Source organism: Homo sapiens, chromosome 6 (assembly GCF_000001405.40).
Source record: "Homo sapiens chromosome 6, GRCh38.p14 Primary Assembly".
Lineage (NCBI taxonomy): Eukaryota > Metazoa > Chordata > Mammalia > Primates > Hominidae > Homo > Homo sapiens.
This window is the reverse complement of record NC_000006.12, coordinates 143,116,519-143,139,607: the sequence shown is the minus strand read 5'-3', so window position 1 is coordinate 143,139,607 and position 23,089 is coordinate 143,116,519. Positions and strand designations below refer to the sequence as shown.

Here is a 23,089-nt window from a genome sequence, read left to right as displayed (position 1 = left end):
TATGAAGGGAACAGTGACTCACAGTAACAGGGATGATTATGAAAGATGGAAATAGTGACTACAAAATATCAATGGGCAAAAAAAAAATGAGTTAAAAACATCAGTGAGTTACACATCTCTGATTCCTTATCTATTCTTTGATTTCTTTTGTGATTCTCAAGAGCACTGATCCCCTCCATGTGCTGGGTGACACGGGAGGCCCTGGCGCAGTGATGAGGACTGGCTGGGCTGTCAGAGAGCCACTAGGACAGCTGCACCCACACGCCATGAAAGTGTGATGCTGGGACTTCTGGTTTAAGAGGGATGGGGTGGGTGGGGATGAAAGGCACTTTTATTCCTCTTTTTTCTAAAACATAGGCAAAACAACAAAGACAGTGATAGATGGAGGAAAATATCAGATGTACTAAAACAAATAACTAAACAAAAAGGCCACCACTTGTTTTATAAACCATGAAACATACATGGGATAACTTTAGGAAAGACACCAAGAGTTGACATATACTTCAAGCTTCAGGCAGGTGCAAAAGTTTCCCCCAAAGGAAGGTCAAAAATGTCTAAAGGGCATATGCCATGAGCTTTTGAGGAGAGTAGCAAAATTTACAACATAAGTCAAAATTTTCCCTGTAGAGACATAATTTGATATCACATACAGAAGGGAGCTAAGAGAAAACATGTTAACACTATACTCATGTTTACTTTTTTTTTTTTTTTTTTTGAGACAGAGTCTTGCTCTGTTGCCCAGGCTGGAATGCAGTGGTGAGATCTCAGCTCACTGCAACCTCCACCTCCCAGGTTCAAGCTATTCTCCTGCATCAGCCTCCTGAGTAGCTGGGACTAAAGGAGCCCACCACCACGCCCGGCTCATTTTTTGTATTTTTAGTAGAGATGGGGTTTCACTGTGTTAGCCAGGATGGTCTTGATCTCCTGGCCTCATGATCTGCCCGCCTCGGCCTCCCAAAGTGCTGGGATTACAGGCGTGAGCCACTGCGCCTGGCCTACTTTTTTATTGTATTACTATTGTAATCCTTCTAGCCAACGAAGGCTTCCACAGGCAATGACATGGCTATAGAAATTCCAAGGGAGTAGACGTTAAAAAAGAAAAAATGTATACATGATATATATAATATACATGCATATATTAGATATTAGATATAGATGCATATACATGTACACACAGAGAGACTGAGATTTTCTAGATAATTCTTTTATGCAGAAAGTATGTATCTTTGTGCTTTATGCTAATGGAAATTTTCTCTTAGATGACTATTCTGATAGAAAGTATTTGAATTTTATATGGAAAGTCCAAAGAAGGAAATATTAAGTAATATGGAAAGCATTAAACTCTGCTATGCTAAACAATGGAATCTGAGAGATTTGCTGGTTAGCTTCAATCTGAGTACTCATTTATTTAAGTTTTCAGAGGACAAGGATGAGGGAATGAGGAGTGTCAACAAATTATAATGCTCTCTGGCCATTGTGTTTTTCTCAGGGTTAAGGGCTATTTATTTCATCCAAGAAAATATAATTTGGCACACAGAAAAAGCAATTCAGTGACCATCTGAGTGTCTACTAATTGGTCTTAAAGCAAGCATGTAGGGCCTTCTACCAGCTACAAACCTGACAAATATGAGTAATCCACTGGAAGGACTTATGATCAACTTTCTGATTCTTCCTACAATGGACTTGGTGCATGTGCTAGACCACATCACTGAGACTTCTGTTTTCCCCCGAAATCAGCTGGCAAATGAAAGGTCTGAATTTGAATTAAATAACAACTTCTTACTCATCTTTACAGTTTGTGATATATATGAGTTCTCTTCTCCTGGCTACACAGAGGTTAAAATCTGTAGGGTCTCTGAGGGCCTTTAAAAAAACATGGTTTATGTGCAGACAATGGAAAATTAACAGACTTGTGAAGGAAGTTGAGTTATGAAGAGAATCTAACTGAAAACAATGAAAATCAATGAAGTCAAAACAGACCCAAACATTAAGAGGCATTTACTTCAGTGATAGTAGCTAATGGCACAGCTGGGTAACTGAAGAAGTATGAGCTAATACTGATCTCCTCTCCCAAGTTCAAAAGCCTGGTTGACCCAAGGACCCTACCTTTCAAGTTTGGGCTGCTTAAGAAACTGATAGACTGAATTGTGTCCTCTGCAAAATTCATATGTGGAAGCCCTAACCCCCAGAATCTCACAATGTGACTGTATTTGGAGACTGGGTTTCTCAAGAGGTGATTATATATGGTTGAATGAGGTCATTAGGGGGCCCTAATCTAATATGACTGCTATACCTTATAAAAATAGGAAGTTTAGGCAAAGACAGGCACAGAGGGATGAGTGTGTGAAGACACAGTCAGAAGGCGCTGTCTGCAAGCCAAGGGGAGAGAGGCCTCAGAAGAAACGAACCCTGTGGACAACTGCATCTCAGACTTCAGCCTCCAGAACTACGAGAAAATAAATGTTTGTTGTTTAAGCCACCGCATCTGTGGTACTGACAGCTCCAGCAAACTAATAATACAGAAACCTCTTATAATGAACTCTTTTTTTTTCTCTTAGAAGTCTGAAATAAGAGCCAAGTTTCTTTTGTGGCTAAATGCATCCTCCATCATACTCACAACCCCAACAGGAAAGGCCAACACAGCTAACATCCAGTCCCGGAGAGAGATGAGCTTCTTGAGCTGCCTCTCTTGCTCCTGGTTCCCACTTCCTCGAGTCAGAAGACTGGAAAGATCAGTCAGCACACAGATGCCAAAAAAGACAGCCTGGATAACCTGTAGGGGGACAACAGCCGGTATGAGTCATTAAGATCTGGAGACCCAAGCTGTGGAACAGCAAATGAGCTGCTGGTGTACAACATGACATCTAATAAGAAAGGATCAGAAGCATATTTTAAAGAGCTGCTCCTAGAAATAGAGAACAGACATTTACAACTTGCTTTTATACAGAAAGTTCATCTTTAAAACACCACTTCCATTTTCACTCACCTCGGGACAAGTGCAAAACATGCATGCACACACACATCTAAATAGGGCCCATCAGAAAGAAGTATCAACGATCAAACCAGCAGGGCCATTATTTTAAAGCATCATGTCTATGGTTTGTCATGGTTTCTTCTATGTCATGTCTAAATCACATCTATGGTTTCTACTAGTCAATATAACTAGTGAGTTTTAACAAATATCTAAGAAGTGAAAACAAAAGGGTGAGGACTGTCTGAATAACAAGACAATTCAGTCTAAATGTGAAAAACTTTCCTATGCTTTCATCTCTTACATTTAGATATTTTTTCTATCAAAGGAAGTGGTAGGAAGTGGGTCCTTGAGTCATAAAAAAATCGACTGAATGTAATAATTAAGGCTGATATGAAACAAGTTTCTGTTGTCAAACTTGAACTAAATGACCTTCTACTCAGGTTTTTAGTATTTATGAAATAAAATATTTCCAAAGTAATATAAACAGAGATACCCATACAATTTCTCTAACCGCCCCCCCAAAAAAACTACAGGTTATACATTCCTCAAATCAATTATGAATGGAAGCATTTAGATCAGCTATGTTTTATTTACTTGGACTATTGCAAAGGAGAACACTGCAGGCAGCATACTGTAATGCAGCTAGATAGATGATCATTCAAATTATGGAAAGGGCAGAAAATGTATCCCCTGCACACAAAGTCATACCCAATTAGCACCAAGGATAGATTCAGGAAAATTTTTCTGGCTTTTTTCCTACTGAAAATAGTTTACAGATGATATCTTTGTAAAAGACACAATTTTACTCATTGCCTCTTTAGAAAAGATAGCAAGGACCTTTTTTGGTAAATTTCCTCATTGGCAGTAGAAAGAGTCTGTGAAAGCTCTGTGGATAGGGTCCTCACAAGGGAAGAAGGATCCTAAAAAGTATTTAGTTCCATCACTTAGCATAGCACTAGAACACAGAAATTGTTAACCTAGGCTTTTTGGAGTTCATCAAATCTTACTATTATTAGTCAGTCTTAGGCAGAGTAATGTTCTGTTTCCTCATAACGTAGCCTGTCTTTAGCTTCAGTGACTTAAGGTTTACTGTCATTCTTTCTGCAGCCAGAAAAGCCAGAGTAAAAGAAGCTAAGACTGCCACAATTGAGAACGACACAATAAAAGTGTTGGCAAGAGTCATGTTTTGATAACTAGAAATAACTTAAATGACTCAGGGAATAATTTCATACTTAGAAAAATGTTCTATTTTCTATTTTTCATATATTCCTATTCATATCTTTCTATTTTTCATATCCTAGGACTTTAGATGTTTGAATCTCTATGTTGGCCCTAATGGAGTTTGATTAAACTGGAGTGACCCTACCAGAGGAGAATAATCTTCATTATTCTTCATTACTAGCTAATCTGGCTAGTAAACATAAAAAGGTAACTAACAACCAGGGAAATGCAAACTAAGACCACAATGAGGTAGCATTTCTCACCAGTGTAATTATTTACAATTTAATTCTTACAATACCAAGTGTTACAAAGATGTAGAACAACCAGAAAGCTTATGGTAGGAATGCAAATCTGGACAACCGCTTTGAAAAACAACTGACAATATCTACAGATGCTCCTCAACTTATGATGCAGCTACGTCCCTATAAACTCATAGTAAACTGAAAATATCTTAAGTTGGAAATGCATTTAATACACCCGACCTATAGAATAGCATAGCTTAGCTTAGCCTATCTAAAATGTGCTCAGAACACACACATTAGCCTGCAGTTGGGAGAAATCATCTAACACAAAGCCTGTTTTATGATAAAATGTTGAAAATATCATGTAACTTATTAAATATTGTGCTGAACATGAAAAACAGAATGGCTTCATGAGTACTCAAAGTATGGTTTCTATTGAATGCGATCACTTTCACACCAGCATAAAGTCGAAATATAATAAGTCAAAAATTCTGAGTTGTGGACCATCTATAGTAACTTAAAGATGCATATACTCTATTTATTTCGTGATATAATTATAAAGGGCATTTCCTGCAGAAACTCTCATATATGTGTACTAGTCATATCTACCAAAGGTTAATTTGAGTGTTCATTGCTTCAAAAAAGTTGAAATAACTATGTTTCTTAATAGTTGACTGGATAAATAATGGTGTTATATTCATACAATGGAAATCTAAACCAATATAAACATTTTATTTTCACAACAAAATGTTAAACCAAAAAAAAAAAAAAAAAGGAAACCAGGAAAGAATTCTGACAATTAAAATCAATTTCAAAAAAAAATGCAAAGATAAATTTAAGGATGCAGGGATATGAAGTAATACATGAAGAAATGCATGGGAATTAATAACATTGCATTAAGGTACCTCTAGAGAGAGAAGGATAAGATTGGAGGAAATATTATCTGCACAGGGCTTCAACTGTACAAATAATATTTTATTTCTTAAGTTGGTTATTTGGCATACTGAAATTGATTGTATTATTCTCTCTATATTTCACTGGTGTAAAATATTTTCAAATAACTTAAAAGTTTAAAGAGAGTGGTTTTTATTCTTTTGAAATATAGTTGGCTAGCCTCTTTCAAATCCTTCCCTTCTAATTCAATATCCCTTAGTTTTAAAGATTGACTAAAAAATAGGGTTTGGTAAGCTCAAAAAGCCTAGTTACTGCATTATATGTAAAATTTCTGTGGGATTTTTGTTTATAGGCAGAGGAAGTAGAATATTGCCTTGGTACTGATAAAGTGTAAATACCTGGAGACCACTTAATTGTTTTATGCAGCCTGGAAAGCAAGGAAACATGATGGAGGATAAGTCCAAGAAAGAAAGTTCTGGTTAAAGCTATTGCGATACCCTCCAAGGACAAGTTAATTCACTACAACTGTTCACCTAAAAACTCCATGATATAGTAACTGGACCAGGTTTGCCTTCACACCATAAACAACTAGACATTTGGACTAAATATATGAACCAGGCTTTTCAGATAATGGACTTTTTACTCAGCAATCAGTCAGATAAATCTCTTTTTAAAGGGCTTACCAGATGAAATCAAGCCCATCTTAGAAAATTTTCCTTTTTCCCACATAAAGTAATGTAGTTACAAGAATAATCATATTCACATCCTGCCCAAACTCAATTGGAGGGGAATACACAAAGGTGAATGTCTTTGGGGGTCATTTTAGAAGTCTACCTACTACAAGCAATAGGCTAAACAATTCTCAAAGCTCATTCAGGATAGAGATGTATTCCAGTTCTGACTAATCACATAGAAGAGGCCTTATTGTCTACAACAGGCATTCAGTAGAGACCCAAGAAGTCTCATGCCTAAATAGTGGCACTAACATAGCCCTGGAATAAAGGCTAACATAGATCCACCCAAACAATACTTAAAAATAGCCCTCAAACAAACAAAAAAAAGCTGATCTACAAGTAGTTTAAATGCCTATTAAAAACAAAATTCTACTTTATTTAAAGGAAGACAACAAATTCCAGACATTCAACAACATAGCGCACAATGTCCATCATCCAATAAAAATTACTGAACATGTCAAGCAGTAGAAAAATATCCTTAACCAAAATAAAAGCCATTCAATAAAAACAGATGTAGAAATAACAGAAATATTGGAATTGGTAGACAAGTGCATTAAATAACTAAATTAAATCAGTTCAAAAAGTTAAAGGAAGACATAAAAATAGCGAGAGAAATAAGACATTAAAAAGAATCAAAGTTAATATTCAAAAGTTAAAAAAAATCTGAAATCAAAAAGTCACTGTATGGAAATAATAGCAGATTAGACACCAAAAAAGAAAAGATTAAAAATTGAATACATAGAAAACATGAATACATGAAAAGAAACTTTCCAAAATTAATCACTGAAAGAAGAAAGACTTTAAATATTAACAATCTAAGTGAACTGTGAGAAAATATCAAGCAGTCTAATATATGTGTATTGGAGACCCAAAGGTCAGGTAGAAAAAAAAAAACTGAAGAAATAATGGCTGAAGTTTTTCGAAGTTTTCTGAAAACTATAAACCCACAGATCCAAGAAGCTCAACAGTGGAGTACACACAAAGAAAACCGTATCAATCCCCAGTGTAATCAAATTTCATAAAATTTTGACAAAGATGGAAATTTTAAAGCCACTGGAGGGAAAAAAAACATATCACCATACAGAACAAAAAGAATTAACACATATTTCTTGTGTAAAACGATCCAAGCCAAGAAACAATGAAACAATATCTTTTAAGTCTTATAATGGAGAAAAAACTCTCAAAGGTGAAAGACTTTTTCAGATAAACAGAAACTGAGAGAATTAAATATCATTAGACTTTCACTAAAGGATATATTAGAGGAATGAAGAAATGATATCACATATGGAAATCTATACAGATCAATGACAATTGCTGAAAAATAGATGTGGATAATATAGATATGAAAATAAATATAAAAGATTTTTACTTTTCTAATTTCTACATTTATTAACGATAATTAACTACAGCAAAAATATAACTATTTTGTGAGGTTTTAAGAATATTTAGAAGTAAAATTTATAATAACAACAGCACCAAGGACAAGAAAGAATGGAAGGTATATAGTTGTAAGGTTCTTACATTACACATAAAGTTGTATAATATTAGTTGACAGCAGACTGTGATAAGTTAAATATGCATATTGTAAACCACAGAGCAACCATCAAAAGAATAGAGGGGATCAGCTAATGTATTAGTTGTCCATTGCTGCATAACAAGTTACCACAAACTTAGCAGCTAAAACACCACCAATATATTACTCCTCAGCTTGTAGGTCAGGTGCCCAGGAAGGTTACTCTAGGTTTTATGGTTAGGGTACCACAACACCAAAATTAATGTGTTGGCCAAGCTAGGCCCTTACGTGGAGGCCAAAAGAAAAGATCTACTTCCAAGCTCATTCAGGTTGGTAGAATCCAGTCCCTTGACATTGTGAGACTAAGATTCGTGTTTCTTTATTGGCTGTTGGCTAGGGTCACTCTCGGCTCCTTGTGTCTGTTCTCCAGTCCTTGTACATGGTCCCTTCCATCTTCAAAGCCAGCAAGAGAATGTTGAATCCTTCTTATGCTTCAGATCTCTGACTTTCCTTTCTGCTTTCCTCATCTCTCATTGGCTTGAAAAAGCTCTCTGCCTTTAAGACTCATGTGATATAATCAAGCCCACCTGGATAGTGTTCATTTCTTAAGGCCATATATCATAACACAATGAAAGGAATTATATCTCATCATATTCACAGGTTCCTGACATTAGTGTGAAACATCTCTGGGGGCCATTTAAAAAATTTTGTCTCCCATAGCTAGTAAGCCAATAGTGGAAATAAAATGAAATATTAGCAATATTAAATTAATTCAGGAAAGTCAAAAATTGGGGGAAAGGAAGAAAGAATAAATGGAACAAAAAGAAAACTAAAATAGGATATCAGACTTAACCCAACAATGTCTGTAATTACACTAAATATAAATGGTTTAAGCTCTCCAATGCAAAGGCAGGGATTATCAGACTGGATTTTAAAAACCAAACCAAAACAAAAAAAAGCATGTAAGTATAAATGTAACGTTGGTTAAAAGTAAATGAATGCAAATGCTAACCATAAGAAGGCTGAAGTAACTACACTAACATTAAAGTAGGTTTCCAGCATGTTCTCACTTATAACTGAGACAGCTAAATGATGAGAACACATGGACACAGAGAGGGGAACAACACACAGTGGGGTCTATTGAGGGGTGGAGGTGGGAAGAGGGAGAGGATTAGGAATAATAACTAATGGGTACCAAGCTAATACCTGGGTGATGAAACAATCTGTACAACAAACCCCAATGATGCACATTTACCTGTGTAACAAATTTGCACATGTACCCCTGAATTTAAAACTTCTTTTATTTTTCTTGAGACAGAGTCTTGCTCTGTCTCCCAAGCTGGAGTGCAGTTGTGAGATCTCAGTTCACTGCAACTTCTGCCCCCTGGGTTAAATCGATTCTCCTGTCTCAGCCTCCCCAGTAGCTAGGATTACAGGCACGCACCACCACACCCAGCTAATTTTTGTATTTTTAGTAGAGATGGGGTCTCACCACGTTGACCAGACTGGCAGGTTTCGAACTCCTGACCTCGTGATCTACCCGCCTCAGCCTCCCAAAGTGCTGGGATTGCAGGTGTGAGCCACCACACCTGGCCCCAAAAGTTCTTTTTATTAAATAGGTTTCCAGAGCAAGCTAAGCATACAGTAGGGAACACTTTTTTCTCTTTTGAGCCTTCATAGTCAGCAACACTGTAGAGATATATTTTTCTTTGTGAGACCTTAGATTTTCCTACTTCACAAACTTCAGGATAGCCAGCATCTCAATAAAAAGATAACTTTAATTTTTTTTAAAGTATCTATCAGCAGGGCGCGGTGGCTCACACCTATAATCCCAGCACTTTGGGAGACTGAGATGGGTGGATCACGAGGTCAAGAGATCAAGACTATCCTGGCCAACATGGTGAACCCCCATCTCTATTAAAAGTGCAAAAATTAGCTGGGCATGGTGGTGCACACCTGTGGTCCCAGCTACTCAGGAGGCTGAGGCAGGAGAATCACTTGAACCCAGGAGGCAGAGGTCGCAGTGAGCCAGGATCATGCCACTGCACTCCAGCCTGGTGACCAAGGGAGACATCGTCCAAAAAAAAAAAAAAAAAGTGTCTATTTACATAAGGAATATTACCAAAAATAGAGGAACATTTCATAATGATAAAAAATCAATTAATCAGGAAGAAATAATGATCTTAAATATAGATGTACCTAATATCAGACCTTCAAAATAGAGGAAAAAGAAACTAATTTAACTAAATTACTCAACAATTTTTTGTATAAATAAGTAATTTACTAATTCTTGTGAAACAGTTGCTTTTATAAAGACTTAAAAGAAAAGAAATAGGAATAGGAAGGAAGCTTAACATGAAAAAAAGGGAAAAACAGAATCTCGAATTCTAGGAGAGCGAAAAAACAAAATAATTTCTGCAAATCTAAATGTAATAGTCTAAGCAACACTTTCTCAGATTTATATAATTAACAGTATGTACAAATGAAGTCTTATACTTTTCTACAGTTGATTCATCTTCTTACCCAATGGTGTCATCTAACACAGCAGTCCCCTCACTATTACCTGTCACTCTTTGTAGACCTCCCTACTGGTTCTCCCCTACTTGGGACTATAGTACAGCCCCCACCTCACCTGAACTGCTAAGAAGACTTCCCCAAAGAGTGTACGTGGAGGTCAGGGAAAGGAGGTACTACAAAATGATTTTTTCCTATTTTCTTTTTTCTTTTTTTATTTTTTTTGAGACGGAGTCTCACTATGTTGCCCAGGCTGGAGTGCAGTGGTGCGATCTCGGCTCACTGCAAGCTCCGCCTCCCAGGTTCATGCCATTCGCCTGCCTCGGCCTCCCAAATAGCTGGGACTACAGGTGCCTGCCCCCACACCCGCCTAATTTTTTGTATTTTTAGTAGAAATGGGGTTTCACCATGTCAGCCAGGATGGTCTCAATCTCTTGACCTCGTGATCTGCCTGCCTCGGCCTCCCAAAATGCTGGGATTACAGGCATGAGCCACCGCGCCCAGCCATTTTTTCCTATTTTCTAAACACAAGGAGACAAAGAGGACATGTTTGGGTTATGCTACTATTTCTTTAACTCACACTGGTTAGTCCTCAAAAGATAATCTCTAAAAATGATGAAACAGTCTATCCTTCTCAGGAAAGAAGCATAAACTCACTTTTGGCTATTTGCTTATTTAAGAAGCAGTTTGCCAATACTATTAAAACACTTGAGGTTTCTGTCAGTTTATAAGAGTTTGATTTGAACTGACAGTTAACAAATCCCATTACAGACATTTTATGTGTGTTTTTCTGTTGCCTACATGAATCCTGCTGACCACTGCAACTTAAAATTCATTAACTTAACTGTTAAAAATGTAAAAGTTATATGGAGATGCACAAGTGGATCTTAAGCAGGATTACCTTGAAGTATTATTCGACTCCAGCCATTCTGCAGAGCTGGCACTTCCAAACCATCAACTCAGCATGACACACATATACACCATCTGGCTTTGGGTTCTTAGCAGGCTAGTTGCTCTTATTATTTTACGTTGCATGCTGAAATGAAGTGGTCAAATGTATCATGTCTCTCCAAGAAATATAAATAGGAATAGATCAGAACAACAACAACAAAAATCCCAGGATTACTTTGGAGTCACTCAGTATTCATTTCTCTAAAATCTTCTCTACTGTTTAATTCCTTCTCCATCTTTTTTCTACACCTCCCCAACTCTCCCTGTCAGGAAATCATAGCTGATTTACTGAGTCATGTTAGATTTTAAATTCATTTTCGCAAGTATGGAAGTATACTCAAATTCCATTCATGTCTTTATCTTTTTTGAAATGCACAATTGGTTTTGATTAAATTAATGTAATAGTCTATTATTTTTCTTCTCTGGAATGCACTAAACTATTACACTCCTGTTTGTAATATAGGACAAATTCATTAGACTTCTACCATTTATTCCTAAAACATATATAATTTATCCAGAATTGCTTTTATTTCATCCCATTACATCATCTTCAATATCCTCAACTAAATTTAATTATGGCTGGATGTGGTGGCTCATGCCTGTAATCCCAGCATTTTTGGAGGCCAAGGCAGGTGGATCACTTGAGGTCAGGAGTTCCAGACCAGCCTGGCCAACATGGTAAAACTCCATCTCTACTAAAAATACAAAAGGTAGCTGGGCGTGGTGGTGCATGCCTGTAATCTCAGCTACTTGGGAGGCTGAGGCATAAGAATCACTTGAACATGGGAGGTGAAGGCTGTAGTGAGCCAAGATTGTACCACTGCACTCCAGCCTTGATGATACAGCAAGACTCTGTCTCAAAAAAAAAACAAGAAAGGTCAGCACCAAAAAACAATATCAAGTTATGTCCTTAATTAGTTGCTAATTTGTACATTTCTACATAATTGACTAAACTCAGGCAAAACACAAGAATTAATCAAATAAGAAAAGCAGCATTTTAAATAAAAATGGAATCATTATTTGTATGAATTTTAAAAGGCCAGAGTATATTTGTCTTGACCTTTGGCCATATCCCCAGTGACTGGTAGTCAAGGTGTTCCACATTTTGATTATGGTGTACTTTTATAAAATTAATGTAAAGAACACCATAGATTTGTCTTGAAGATGGTTCATGTTTTCAAGTTAATTTTAGGCACAGCAGACAGAAGAAACAAGAAGACGGAATGCTGAGAAGGGCAGCAATGGAAACTGGAATGACATGGATCATGGAATGAAGGAAAACTGTGGAGAGAACAAATGGGAAAGAGGCAGTGAGATTTATTGGTGTCATAAAGAAAGGCCTGGAAGAGTCCCCATATGAGGATAAAACCATTAATTAAAGGGGAAATGATAAGGAAGAAATGAAAAATCGACCTGGTCTCTTTTCTAACTAGAGAACATAAAGTATTATGTGACATTTAATAAATTTATATGTAATCCAGAGAGGAATAGTCTATCTACATATAAAATCTCTCTATAAAAGTCACATATGTCTAGATAGATAGATATTACTCTGTAGATCTCCCTACTTCTTCTCCCCTACTTGGGACTATAGTATCTATATAGTACCGAATATATAGTACCAACTATATAGGTACTATAGTCCCGAGTAGGGGAGCACAAGTAGGGACTATATATATCTATCTAGATATATATGATATATATGATATGTACATATAAAACATACATAGTTATATACACATAAAAGAGAGAGTAGTTTGTCATATGCAGAAATGAAAGTAGCACATTCAGAGAAATGGTGTGAGCTTGAGACCTTCCTGTATTTCACCTACAGTCACATATCATGAGGTACTTTATAGCATAAAAAGTTATTTTGTTTTCAGTTCATCAAACTTTCAATGCAGTTCTTGCTGGAAACCAACCTAGGCAGTATCCATGTTCAGCAAAGACTAAAAGAAGTTAAATAATGCATGGAAAGGATATAAGAGCCATAAAATAGCAGTTCTATAAAACACCATCTTCAAGGGATCCCCCGCTTTCCACAGACATCTTTCTTTTTAACAGCGCATAATTCTTTCTCCCTGTTATCAAGAGTGAACTCCAACGGTACTTCATCCCCGTGAGACAGTGACTCAGTATGAAACCAGATGAGTGAATCCCACAAGGGTTTCCTTTGCCTCTGTTTTCACTGCTTTCCTTGCCTGAGACATCTGAACACCCGGTAGCAATTCTACAACCAGGGGAGTCCATCATCACTTACCTGGAGTCCATGATCAGTTACATATTTGAATGCTACTCCGTAGAGAAATCAATGCATTTAAAAGAACCACAGGCTCTCTCTACCTCCCTCATCCAGAGACGATGTCCATTAGATGCACCGCCTGGTGAATTATCCTCTCCTACCCTTGGAGCGGGTTAGCCTGACTGAGCCAAAGAGGACTTCTCACTGTAATGACCGAAATTCTTTCTAAATCTGTCATCTAAGTGACATGCTTTAAGCCCAAGCTTTTTCAAGGAAACTTCACCACAAACATTTTTGAGGAGATGGGCTAACTGCACCATCAAATGTGTGGTTTGCAGAATGTGATTTAGAATCCCTGCTTTTGTGCATAGATATTTACCTCATACTGCTCCATCTCATTACTGAAAATCGATGAAACAGGCCATAAGTCACCAGTGGCAAGCAATTCATTCAAACGGGCAGGAAAAAACATAAGTTTTCCAGTCAGAAATAATGTACATAGATAAGCAGCTTTGGGAATGAAAGCTTGTCAACATAATTCATTACAATATCACATAATTGCTTTTAATATATAAGTAGCAAGAACAACAACCGTCTAAAGAAGGCATTTGGATATTCTTCACACAGTAATGGGTACAGTCACGCCATGTTCCCTCAATTGCTGGATAAACACACAGCAGGGACCTCCCCAGAGACTCCATTCTAATCTGCAAATTATGATAGAAAATTCCCCCCCAGGGTGTTCTGACTGAGCTTCCTCAGCTACCCGGGTGGAGCAGATGCTGACTCTATGAGCTACTCAAAAATCTTACAAGCTTAAAGATTTTTACATAGTTAATATTAGCATGAACTTTTTGAACACTGAATTAAATATACCATTGATTTTTTTAACAAATAATTATTGATTGCTATGTACAAAGCACTTAGTAAACTACTAATGCAGAAAGGCACACTATGAAACCAGTATGCACTCTGCTACAAAGGTGAATATGCTTTTAAGTGCCTAACCTCTAACTTAGCAGTATCTCCTTTTGCTAAGTATATGACATTTAGATTTAAGCACAATAATAGTGATAAGCAATTACTGGGGGAAAAAAGATGTTGCATCTTTGATCATGTTCTGAAGTGCAGTAAATTTTCTAACTTTGTAAAATATTTTGTCCCACTAAATTTTTATTCATGGTAACAATTTTCTTCAACAGAAGATAATTTAACTGCTAAAAATATCATTAAAGAGCTAGATAACTCTGAAACCTAAATGAAATATAAAGTATAAAAGGTACCCTGGAGCTCAGGAAGAGTACCCCAAAAAAACAAAACTTGGAAAAGGACGTCCTCCCCAAAGATGGGCTTCAGACCTGATATGGTTTGGCTGTGTCCCCACCCAAAATCTCACCTTGAATTGTAATCCCCATAATCCCCATATGTCAAGGGCAGGACCAGGTGGAGGTAATTGGATCATGGGGGTGGTTTCTACATGCTGTTCTTGTGATAGTGAGTGAGTCTCATGAGATCTGATGGTTTTATAAGCATCTGGCATTCCCCCACTTGCACCCACTCCTGTCCTGCCACCCTGTAAAGAAGGTACCTGCTTCTCCTTTGCCTTCCACCATGATTGTAAGTTTCCTGAGACCTCCCCAGCAACATGGAACTGTGAGTCAATTAAACCTCTATCCTTTGTAAATTACCCTCGGGTATTTCTTCATAGCAGTGTGAGAACAGACTAATACAAGACCTCACTGGAAAAGGTGTGTTTGCAGCCTGCTGGAAGAGCCACAGCAGCTGGGCAAGCAGGAAGCAGCCTTCCCAGGGGCAAGTGAGCCACCACCGATGAGCAGGTGCACAGAAGGAGTTCACGGTCCACCGTGGGCAGGAGACCTGGAGCATGTAGTGTCCTCGTTGGGAGGGCTGCAGGAAAGTGGTCACCGGAACAGGCTGGGGCTGTGAAGTCACTGAGGGACTGCACATTCCCTTGCCTGTGGCTGGGGCAGAGCAACACTGGATGTCCTTACACCTACACCACTGATGAGTGGGGCAGCAGCTGAAAACAGTAAGAGAGGCCCTTCCTCCTGCAATGGCCCTTCAGCGCTCTTTACTGAGAAAGCTCAACATCGGCCTTTCTGTGAAGGAGAAATGCTCATAAAATCCAGTCTGCTAAGGAACAGAAGGTGTTGAAGGGTGATTTGGAACTGAAAGATGTTATATATGATAGCATGTAATTCACCATGACTTTGTTGATTTTTAGTAGCATTGCTGACACTATTTCAGTTCTTCTTATGAACTGCAGAAGAATCATTTTAAAACATTTGCTTTTAAATTATTCAGACTGGCAGTCTGAGTTCTGTCTTTCTGACTTTGGACATTTAATTATTTTCAATCCTCTTCCAAAGAAAGTAGATCAGGAAAACCTATGAAGACATTATCTTATTGTTTTAAATATGGTAGAACATTCAAAGTGGGCTAATTTATTAGTAATGTGTGATGCTTATGTTAGATAAAGAAGGCTACAGTGAATGGCTGAAGGTAACTTTAAACTGTATATTGAAAATTAACCAATCTTTATCACATCTTTCCTGCTCATATCAGAATTCTATAAAGAATAACAAAAAATAGAAAGTAGCCCAAATATGTACAGACTCAACCATAGATAAATAAATAGAAATATTAAAAAATATATATACAGCAGGGAAAACAAACTGCCTAAAGTAACATGTATCAACATGGATGAACTGCACGGGCATAATGTTGAAAAATAAAAGCAAGATATAAATGACTGAAAAAGTATAATGTCATTTAAATAAATTTTGAAAAGAAATGAAAGAAACAACAATATTAACCCAGGAATCCACATATAGTAAACAATAAGGAAAAGTAAGGCAATAATAGTAAGAAAAGCCTGCACATAGCCAAGTTAGAGTCTGCCTGACTCTATCTCAATCTATTCTCAGGCAACATTTTGTTTTTCACTGCTTGATTCAAGTGTAATGAAATCATCATTAGTGTTGCTACTTTATAAGTGTCTGACTCTCTTGCAGACTATGTGGGTAGAGTTTTTATTTCAACATCATATCCCTAGAGCTTAGCACACATCTGGGATGTAGTATTAATGCATATTTACCAATTACAGAATTAATATAGCAGTGAAGGCAGCTGAGTGGAGTGGGAGGGGACCTGACTTGGGACTGGTAGAAGGACAGCCAGGAAATGCGGAGGGCCCCATAAGGAAGGATGCCATAATAGTATATTTCCACCTGTTACAGGATTGTTTTTTCAACAGTGCCCAGTGCCATAGTTATAGGACATGCCAATGGGAATTAATGGGTCTGAGGGTTTGTAAGGAAGCTCAACAAGACACTGGGGCACTGAGGGTATCAGGAGATGAATAATTAGAGATAGATCATAGGGCTTAGAATGATTAAAGAAAAACATGGAGTCAGGAGGGAGAGAAAACAAGGGTGCTTGGGTAGATCACAGGTATGGTGGGAGGGAACAAACTAAAAGATGGGAATCTGTGGTGCCAGTAGGGGGTTTTAAAGGTCAAGCTGTTCTCAATGACAGTGAAATCCAGGGGTGGCCATGGTAGTAAGCTCCCAGGTGGATGAGATAAAACTCAGTGGATTTGAGGAGATAAAAAAACACTATGAAGAACTAATCTCATGTACCCATTATGTTACTGTAAATTGTAGGGCAAGAAAATAGTTAAGAGAAATTAGAATCGAATAGAAAGAAACATATGTTCTAAAAATTAGAGATTTTATAAATCTATCAACTATGTACACAATTATTAATATAAACTGTATGTTTATAAAACAGTGAATAGTAATGGAGTATCTTGCATCAACAGAAATATAAACAATGGCATTTTTTCTGTTGAGTTACATTAAAGTGATGCATATCCTTTTGATTTTTTTTTACCTTTCTATTCTTACAAACATACAAAGTATATGTTTAAATTCTAATAAATAGAACCATCAATAGTCAAAGTTGTACATGGACAGAACAACAAACATTTTTTTGATGAAAGCACTCCATGAAAGGATAAGGCTAGTCTCATCACTTTTGTAGTAGACAGAAGAAAGAAAACAAATCCAAAACCTTCCAGAGAAGTTCCAACAGGTATTAATAAAAATATATGTTTCTTTTTCTAAAAGCAGTACTCATCTGGAAACTTCTCCTAAGAGAAACTAATTCAATGCCCACACATCAAAAAGTCAAACAAAATTTACAAATCTAAAATCAGGAAGAAATAGCACTAAGAGCTCTAAGAACTCAGAACAAAGAAAATACATAATTTATGCTGCTTTATAAGGTACACTAATTTTAAAACTATCAATAATTTTTTCACCAGAATACCATAAACAAAACTAAACTGTGCTTTGTTAGAAATCAGGAAGTATATTAAATTTTACATTAGGAAGCTTACTAAATTTATACTAACTTTTAAAGATAGCGAGGAAAAACAAGTTGACATAAAACTTGGTATGATATATTACATTTAGTGAAAAGATGTTTATAAATTTCTAAGTGAATCCAAGTAATATTTTCCTGAGAAGTGTTTTAAAAATCAGTCATTAACAATAACATTATTTGAAATAATTATCACACAGTTTTACTAGTGAAAATAAAATACCTATGGTTTATGAATGGTTAAGACATGCACAACTGGACCCTTCTACCAGTTGTCAGAGAAAGCCCTGGTTGCTAACCAGACACACACTGGAATTGCTCCTAGCAAATGGTTTTAATAGCTTCTCCAAATAGCTAACAGTGACATCTTTGTGGCAATTCTGTCTGTAGATAAACAAGAAAGGATAGATGGAAGGAAAGGAGGAAGGGAAGTAAGGGAAAGGAAGATAAATGATCTTTGGGAAAAAAGGATTATGTAATGTAAAGTTGTGGTATGCTCAGGCACTTTGAAAAATATATGTATATTACATGATATGTTCAACTTGATCAGAGAGCAGCACCTGAGAGATGATGATTCAAACTGGTAAATGCTGGAAGAAATCACATACTTGAAGACATACTGGGCAAACAAGAGCAACTCTGCTGAGACCAGCTTGGTCGGGAAGACCCTAACCCAGCAGCGCTAGAGGAATTAAAGACACACACACAGAAATACAGAGGTGTGGAATGGGAAATCAGGGGTCTCACAGCCTTCAAAGCAGAGAGCCTCAAACAGAGATTTACCCATGTATTTATTGACAGCAAGCCAGTGATAAGCATTGTTTTAATCAATTATAGATTAACTAAAAGTATTCCTTATGGGAAACAAAGGGATGGGCCGAAATAAAAGGATGGGTTGGGCTAGTTATCTGCAGCAGGAGCATGTCCTTAAGGCACAGATTGCTCATGCTATTGTTTGTGGATTAAGAATGCCTTTAAGCGGTTTTCCGCCCTGGGTGGGCCAGGTGTTCCTTGCCCTCATTCCAGTAAACCCACAACCTTCCAGCATGGGCATCACGGCCATCACGAACATGTCACAGTGCTGCAGAGATTTTGTTTATGGCCAGTTTTGGGGCCAGTTTATGGAGGGCCTGCTCCCAACACAACTCTATCCATCTTTTCTGCCATAATTGACAGTGAATCCCAGAGCTGAACTGAAAATATTATCTAATATGGTTTGGCTGTGTGTCCCCACCCAAACCTCATCTTGAATTTTAGTTCCCATAATCCCCGCGTGTTATGACAGGGACCTGGTGGAACGTAATTGAATCATGGAGGCAGGTTTTCCCATGCTGTTCTCGTGATAGTGAATAAGTCTCATGAGATCGGATGGTTTTATAAAGGGGAGTTCCCCTGCACACACTCTCTTCCCTGCCTCTATGTAAGACATGCCTTTGCTCCTCCTTCACCTTCCATCATGAATGTGAGGCCTCCCCAGCCATGTGAATCTGTGAGTCCATTAAACCTCTTTTTCTTTATAAATTACCCAGTCTCAGGTATGTCTTTATTAGCAGCGTGAGAATGGACTAATACATTATCCAAAGGTGTTCATCAAATTCTGCCAACTTACAGATTGTCTATGAGGAAGTTTATATGTAATACCCACAACATCTGCCTCAGTTATTTTAAAAAAGGAAATATTGGGCTGGGTGTGGTGGCTCACACCTGTAATCCCAGCACTTTGGGAGGCCAAGGCAGGCAGATCACCTGAGATCGGGAGTTCGAGATCAGCCTGACCAATATGGAGAGACCCCATCTCTGCTAAAAATACAAAAAAAATTAGCCAGGCATTGCTGGCACATGCCTGCAATCCCAGCTACTCGGGAGGCTGAGGCAGGAGAATTGCTTGAACCCAGGAGGCAGAGGTTGTGGTGAGCCAAGATCATGCCATTGCACTCCAACCTGGGCAACAAGAGCGAAACTCCATCTCAAAAATAAAAATAAAAAAGGACATATTAATATTACCAACACTGAGCCCAGGACAAATTGTTTTGGTAAATATACAAAGTCCAACTTCTCTTCTGTGACTTCAAAATATCTTGAATGAAATTTTCTCAAATATTGAGTCAGAACAATCTTTCTTTTTAGTGGCATTATTTTCCTTTGTTATGTGTGATTGTGCTAAGCACCCCAATCAGTGCACTAAATAGGGGTTACAGACAGGAACGAAGGCTTCTTCCCAAGGTCCTTACTCCAGGAAGAAGTCCAGAAACACTGAGTGGAGAAGGGATAAGCCCCTTAGAAACTAAGTCCAAAGTGTCCATGAGTTACTGCAAACACAAAAGTGTTATCTTTGTCTTAGGTGAAGGCCCTACAGTTTTGTAAGGCCCACGCTGCCACTGGAGTGTAGAAAGCCCTAATGCTTCAATGCTGTTCACTTCCAAAGTATGCATCTGTTAAGGTAAGTACAAGCTGCCTGCCTGTGCACTTTTGGACTTGTGTTTATTACCCACAATTCAGAAGTGGACTTTATTCCCCCTACCCAAGTATCACCCCATAGATGGACACCTCTTGAGAATGTGGCATACTTTGAAAATTATTACAATACTTTTGAATTGTAGAGCCTTTAAAAATCTCTAAAGAGATGCACCGCAAGGTTTATGGAGTGTTTGATACTTAAATTGAGCATTTATAGGCAAAAATCTACAATCCCCACATAGCCAGCGTGCTCCCAGACATGATCTGAGAAATTTGTCAGCAGGTGATAAGCACGCTATGTACTTTGAAAATTCTTTTGCTCTTTGGGAGGCCAAGGAGGGTGGATCCCTTGGGCCTAGAAGTTCGAGACCAGCCTGGGCAACATGATGAAATTCTGTCTCTACAAAAAATAGAAAAACTAGTTGGATGCAATGGTGCACACTTGTAGTACCAGCTACTCAGGAGCCTGAAGCAGGAGGATCAATTGAGCCCAGGAGGTCGAGGTTGCAGTGAGCCATGATCATACCACTGTACTCCAGCCTGGGTGACAGAATAAGACCCTGTCTCAAAAAGACAAAAAAAAAAAAAAAGAAAATTCTTTCTTTGGGACACTCTCCAGAAGTTCCATATAGGAATTTTTTGGCACTGATTTTTATTTAGGTCACTCAAGCCCCTCTTTGTTGTAAAATTCTTAATAGGATCATAGGACTTAGTTACTTATTAGCACTATCAGTCATAAGGCAACATAAATGATAAGTCTTTGGGTTATGCTGCTAAGCTAATTCCTGTTGATTGAATAAATACAGGAGACGTGGAAAAGTTCTCTACACATAAGTGATTGCTAAAGCATGGCTGAACAAACATTTTTCTGAAAGGCATCTTTAACCTAGAAAAACTGGCCCGTCTTAAGTCCAATCTTTCGGTATTTTTTTTTACCTTAATGTTGAAAGCATGCTGTACATAATGTACACATCCATTTTAGTGATTTTTTTTTTTTTTTTGAGACGGAGTCTCGCTCTGTTGCCAGGCTGGAGTGCAGTGGCACGATCTCAGCTCACTGCAACCTCTGCCTCCTGGGTTCAAGCAATACCCCTGCCTCAGCCTCTCGAGTAGCTGGGACTACAGGCACCTGCCACCAGACTCGGCTAATTTTTTGTATTTTGGTAGAGACAGGGTTTCACCATGTTGGCCAGGATGCTCTCGATCTCCTGACCTCATGATCTGACTGCCTTGGCCTCCCAAAGTGCTGGGATTACATCACCGGGCATGATGTGCTCACCGGGCATGATGTGCTCACCGGGCGTGAGCCACTGCACCCGGCCTAGTGATGTTTTAATCTTTGTGGACCTACATTGCTTTTGTCCTTTTCTGAATCAATGTGTTTTTATGTAACAAAATCAGAAGCCGAGATCACTATATCTGTTGAAATACTATTGTGAAGCATCCTGCACAGAACTGCCTATGCCCAACTCCAGTGGTGCCCAAATTATCTTTGTGCCTGAATCAATCCAATCCCTGATAGGAAAAAACCTTCAATTTTTCATGTCATGAAGACAGCATTTAGTAAACAAACACAATGTTTTTGGAGGCGGCCACAGTGAACAGAGTGAAGGTACCTCATGAGGTACCACATTTTCCCAGAAGTGCATAATAGTTATAACTACTATCTACATGATAGTTTACCACAATGCTCAGTCGTTGGAGCTCTTCTCTTTTGCAGCTGCAATCACTACCTTAGAGATCTGATCGACTCTTGACTTTAGATACTGCCTCTATGTTAATGATCCTGGTATTTTCGTCCTCAGCCAGGACCTCTCCCTTGAACTCCAGTTAGCCAGACTTCTGCATTTGAAAGTCAGACAGGCATCTCAAACTTAACTGGTGCAAATCTGAACTCCTTGAGCTCTCCCCGACAATCTGCTTCTTCCACCGTCATCCTCATCTCAATGGATGGCCACTCAGGCTTCATAGTAACTCAGCTCTAAACCCTGCTAATGCCATTCTTTAGCAAATCCTGTTGGCTCTATCTTTAAAAATAACCTCCATAATCTGACCCTGTGCACCACATCTACTGCTATCTCATTGGTCCACATCTCCCTGGGTTGTGGGAACATCCTTCCATCACTCTGTTCACACTCCTTCAAAGGCTTCCTATCTTATGCCCAGTAAAAGCCAAAGTCCTTATCAACATGTCCCACAGGCCCTTCCCTGCCTCCTGCCACTGCCACTTCCCCCTAACTGCACCCCATACACGCTCTGCTCCAGTGCCACTGGTCTCCTGGGTTTGGGGCTGTCTCTTTGAACTGCACCCTCACTTCCTCCAGCTCTTCATTCAAATGTTAGTTTGTAATGAGGCCCTGTATGTTAAAGGCACCTGACAGCAATAACTTAAGCACACCCTGAGAAAGACCCTGTACGGCAGACACACTGAATGTGTGTTCTGAGCTAGGGAATCCGGGAATGGCGAAACAGAGATTCGTTCCTTGTCGATGAGGAACATCTGAGCCCCCATACTGTCCTATGCAACACAGGCTGCCCATGGAATCAAGGCCCCGATTTGGGATTGCATGAAGGTTGCCAGGTGGAGGTCATTATGGAGAGGGTGTTAAGTGAAAATGCTATATAAACTGGATGCCTTTCACAAGCCATTGTGGTTTTCCTGTCCAGCCCACTTGCCGCCCCTGGACTGTATGTAAGGTGGTTCTCCTGTCCATCCCACCACTACTAGACTCTCTCCCCAGTATGAAAGTTCCCCAATAAAACCCCATCTCGTGTGCTGGCTCTGGGTCTCTTCTGCCTCTTGAACCTGGTGCCATCCCCATTGGCTTAAAAAGGGATTTGGCAAAATAGGCCTCTCCTGCCACTCTCTGTAAACATGCCACCTCTCCTCCCCAATTCTCCATAGCTTCCTTCACTGCCTTTTAAAAATTTCATGGCAGC

The 23,089-nt window shown here is 38.5% G+C and overlaps 1 protein-coding gene and 1 long non-coding RNA gene across 24 annotated transcripts in view; one reads left to right on the top strand and one right to left on the bottom strand.

Moving 5' to 3' along the window:
- AIG1 (androgen induced 1) overlaps nucleotides 1-23,089 on the bottom strand; it is a 284,671-nt gene that overhangs the window by 204,276 nt on the left and 57,306 nt on the right. For 21 of the 23 annotated variants that reach the window (NR_158896.1, NR_158960.1, NM_001286587.2 and 18 more), the window contains one exon: nucleotides 2,618-2,773. The exons of 1 other annotated variant lie outside the window; for it this stretch is intronic. Coding sequence is in view for 20 of the 22 variants with exons in the window: in NM_001286587.2 (NP_001273516.1) it covers nucleotides 2,618-2,773 (156 nt within the window). In the remaining 2 variants the exon portion in view is untranslated. Of the gene's footprint in view, nucleotides 1-2,617; nucleotides 2,774-13,303; nucleotides 13,470-23,089 lie in introns of those variants that run through there. One more of the 23 variants, NM_001366358.1, reaches the window with a different exon arrangement.
- The window catches only part of LOC124901416 (uncharacterized), a 49,698-nt gene that overhangs the window by 25,481 nt on the left and 1,128 nt on the right, over nucleotides 1-23,089 (top strand). Inside the window, exons 2-3 of the long non-coding RNA XR_007059794.1 lie at nucleotides 4,276-4,402; nucleotides 20,034-20,132. This is a non-coding gene — a long non-coding RNA (uncharacterized LOC124901416). The remainder of the gene's footprint in view (nucleotides 1-4,275; nucleotides 4,403-20,033; nucleotides 20,133-23,089) is intronic.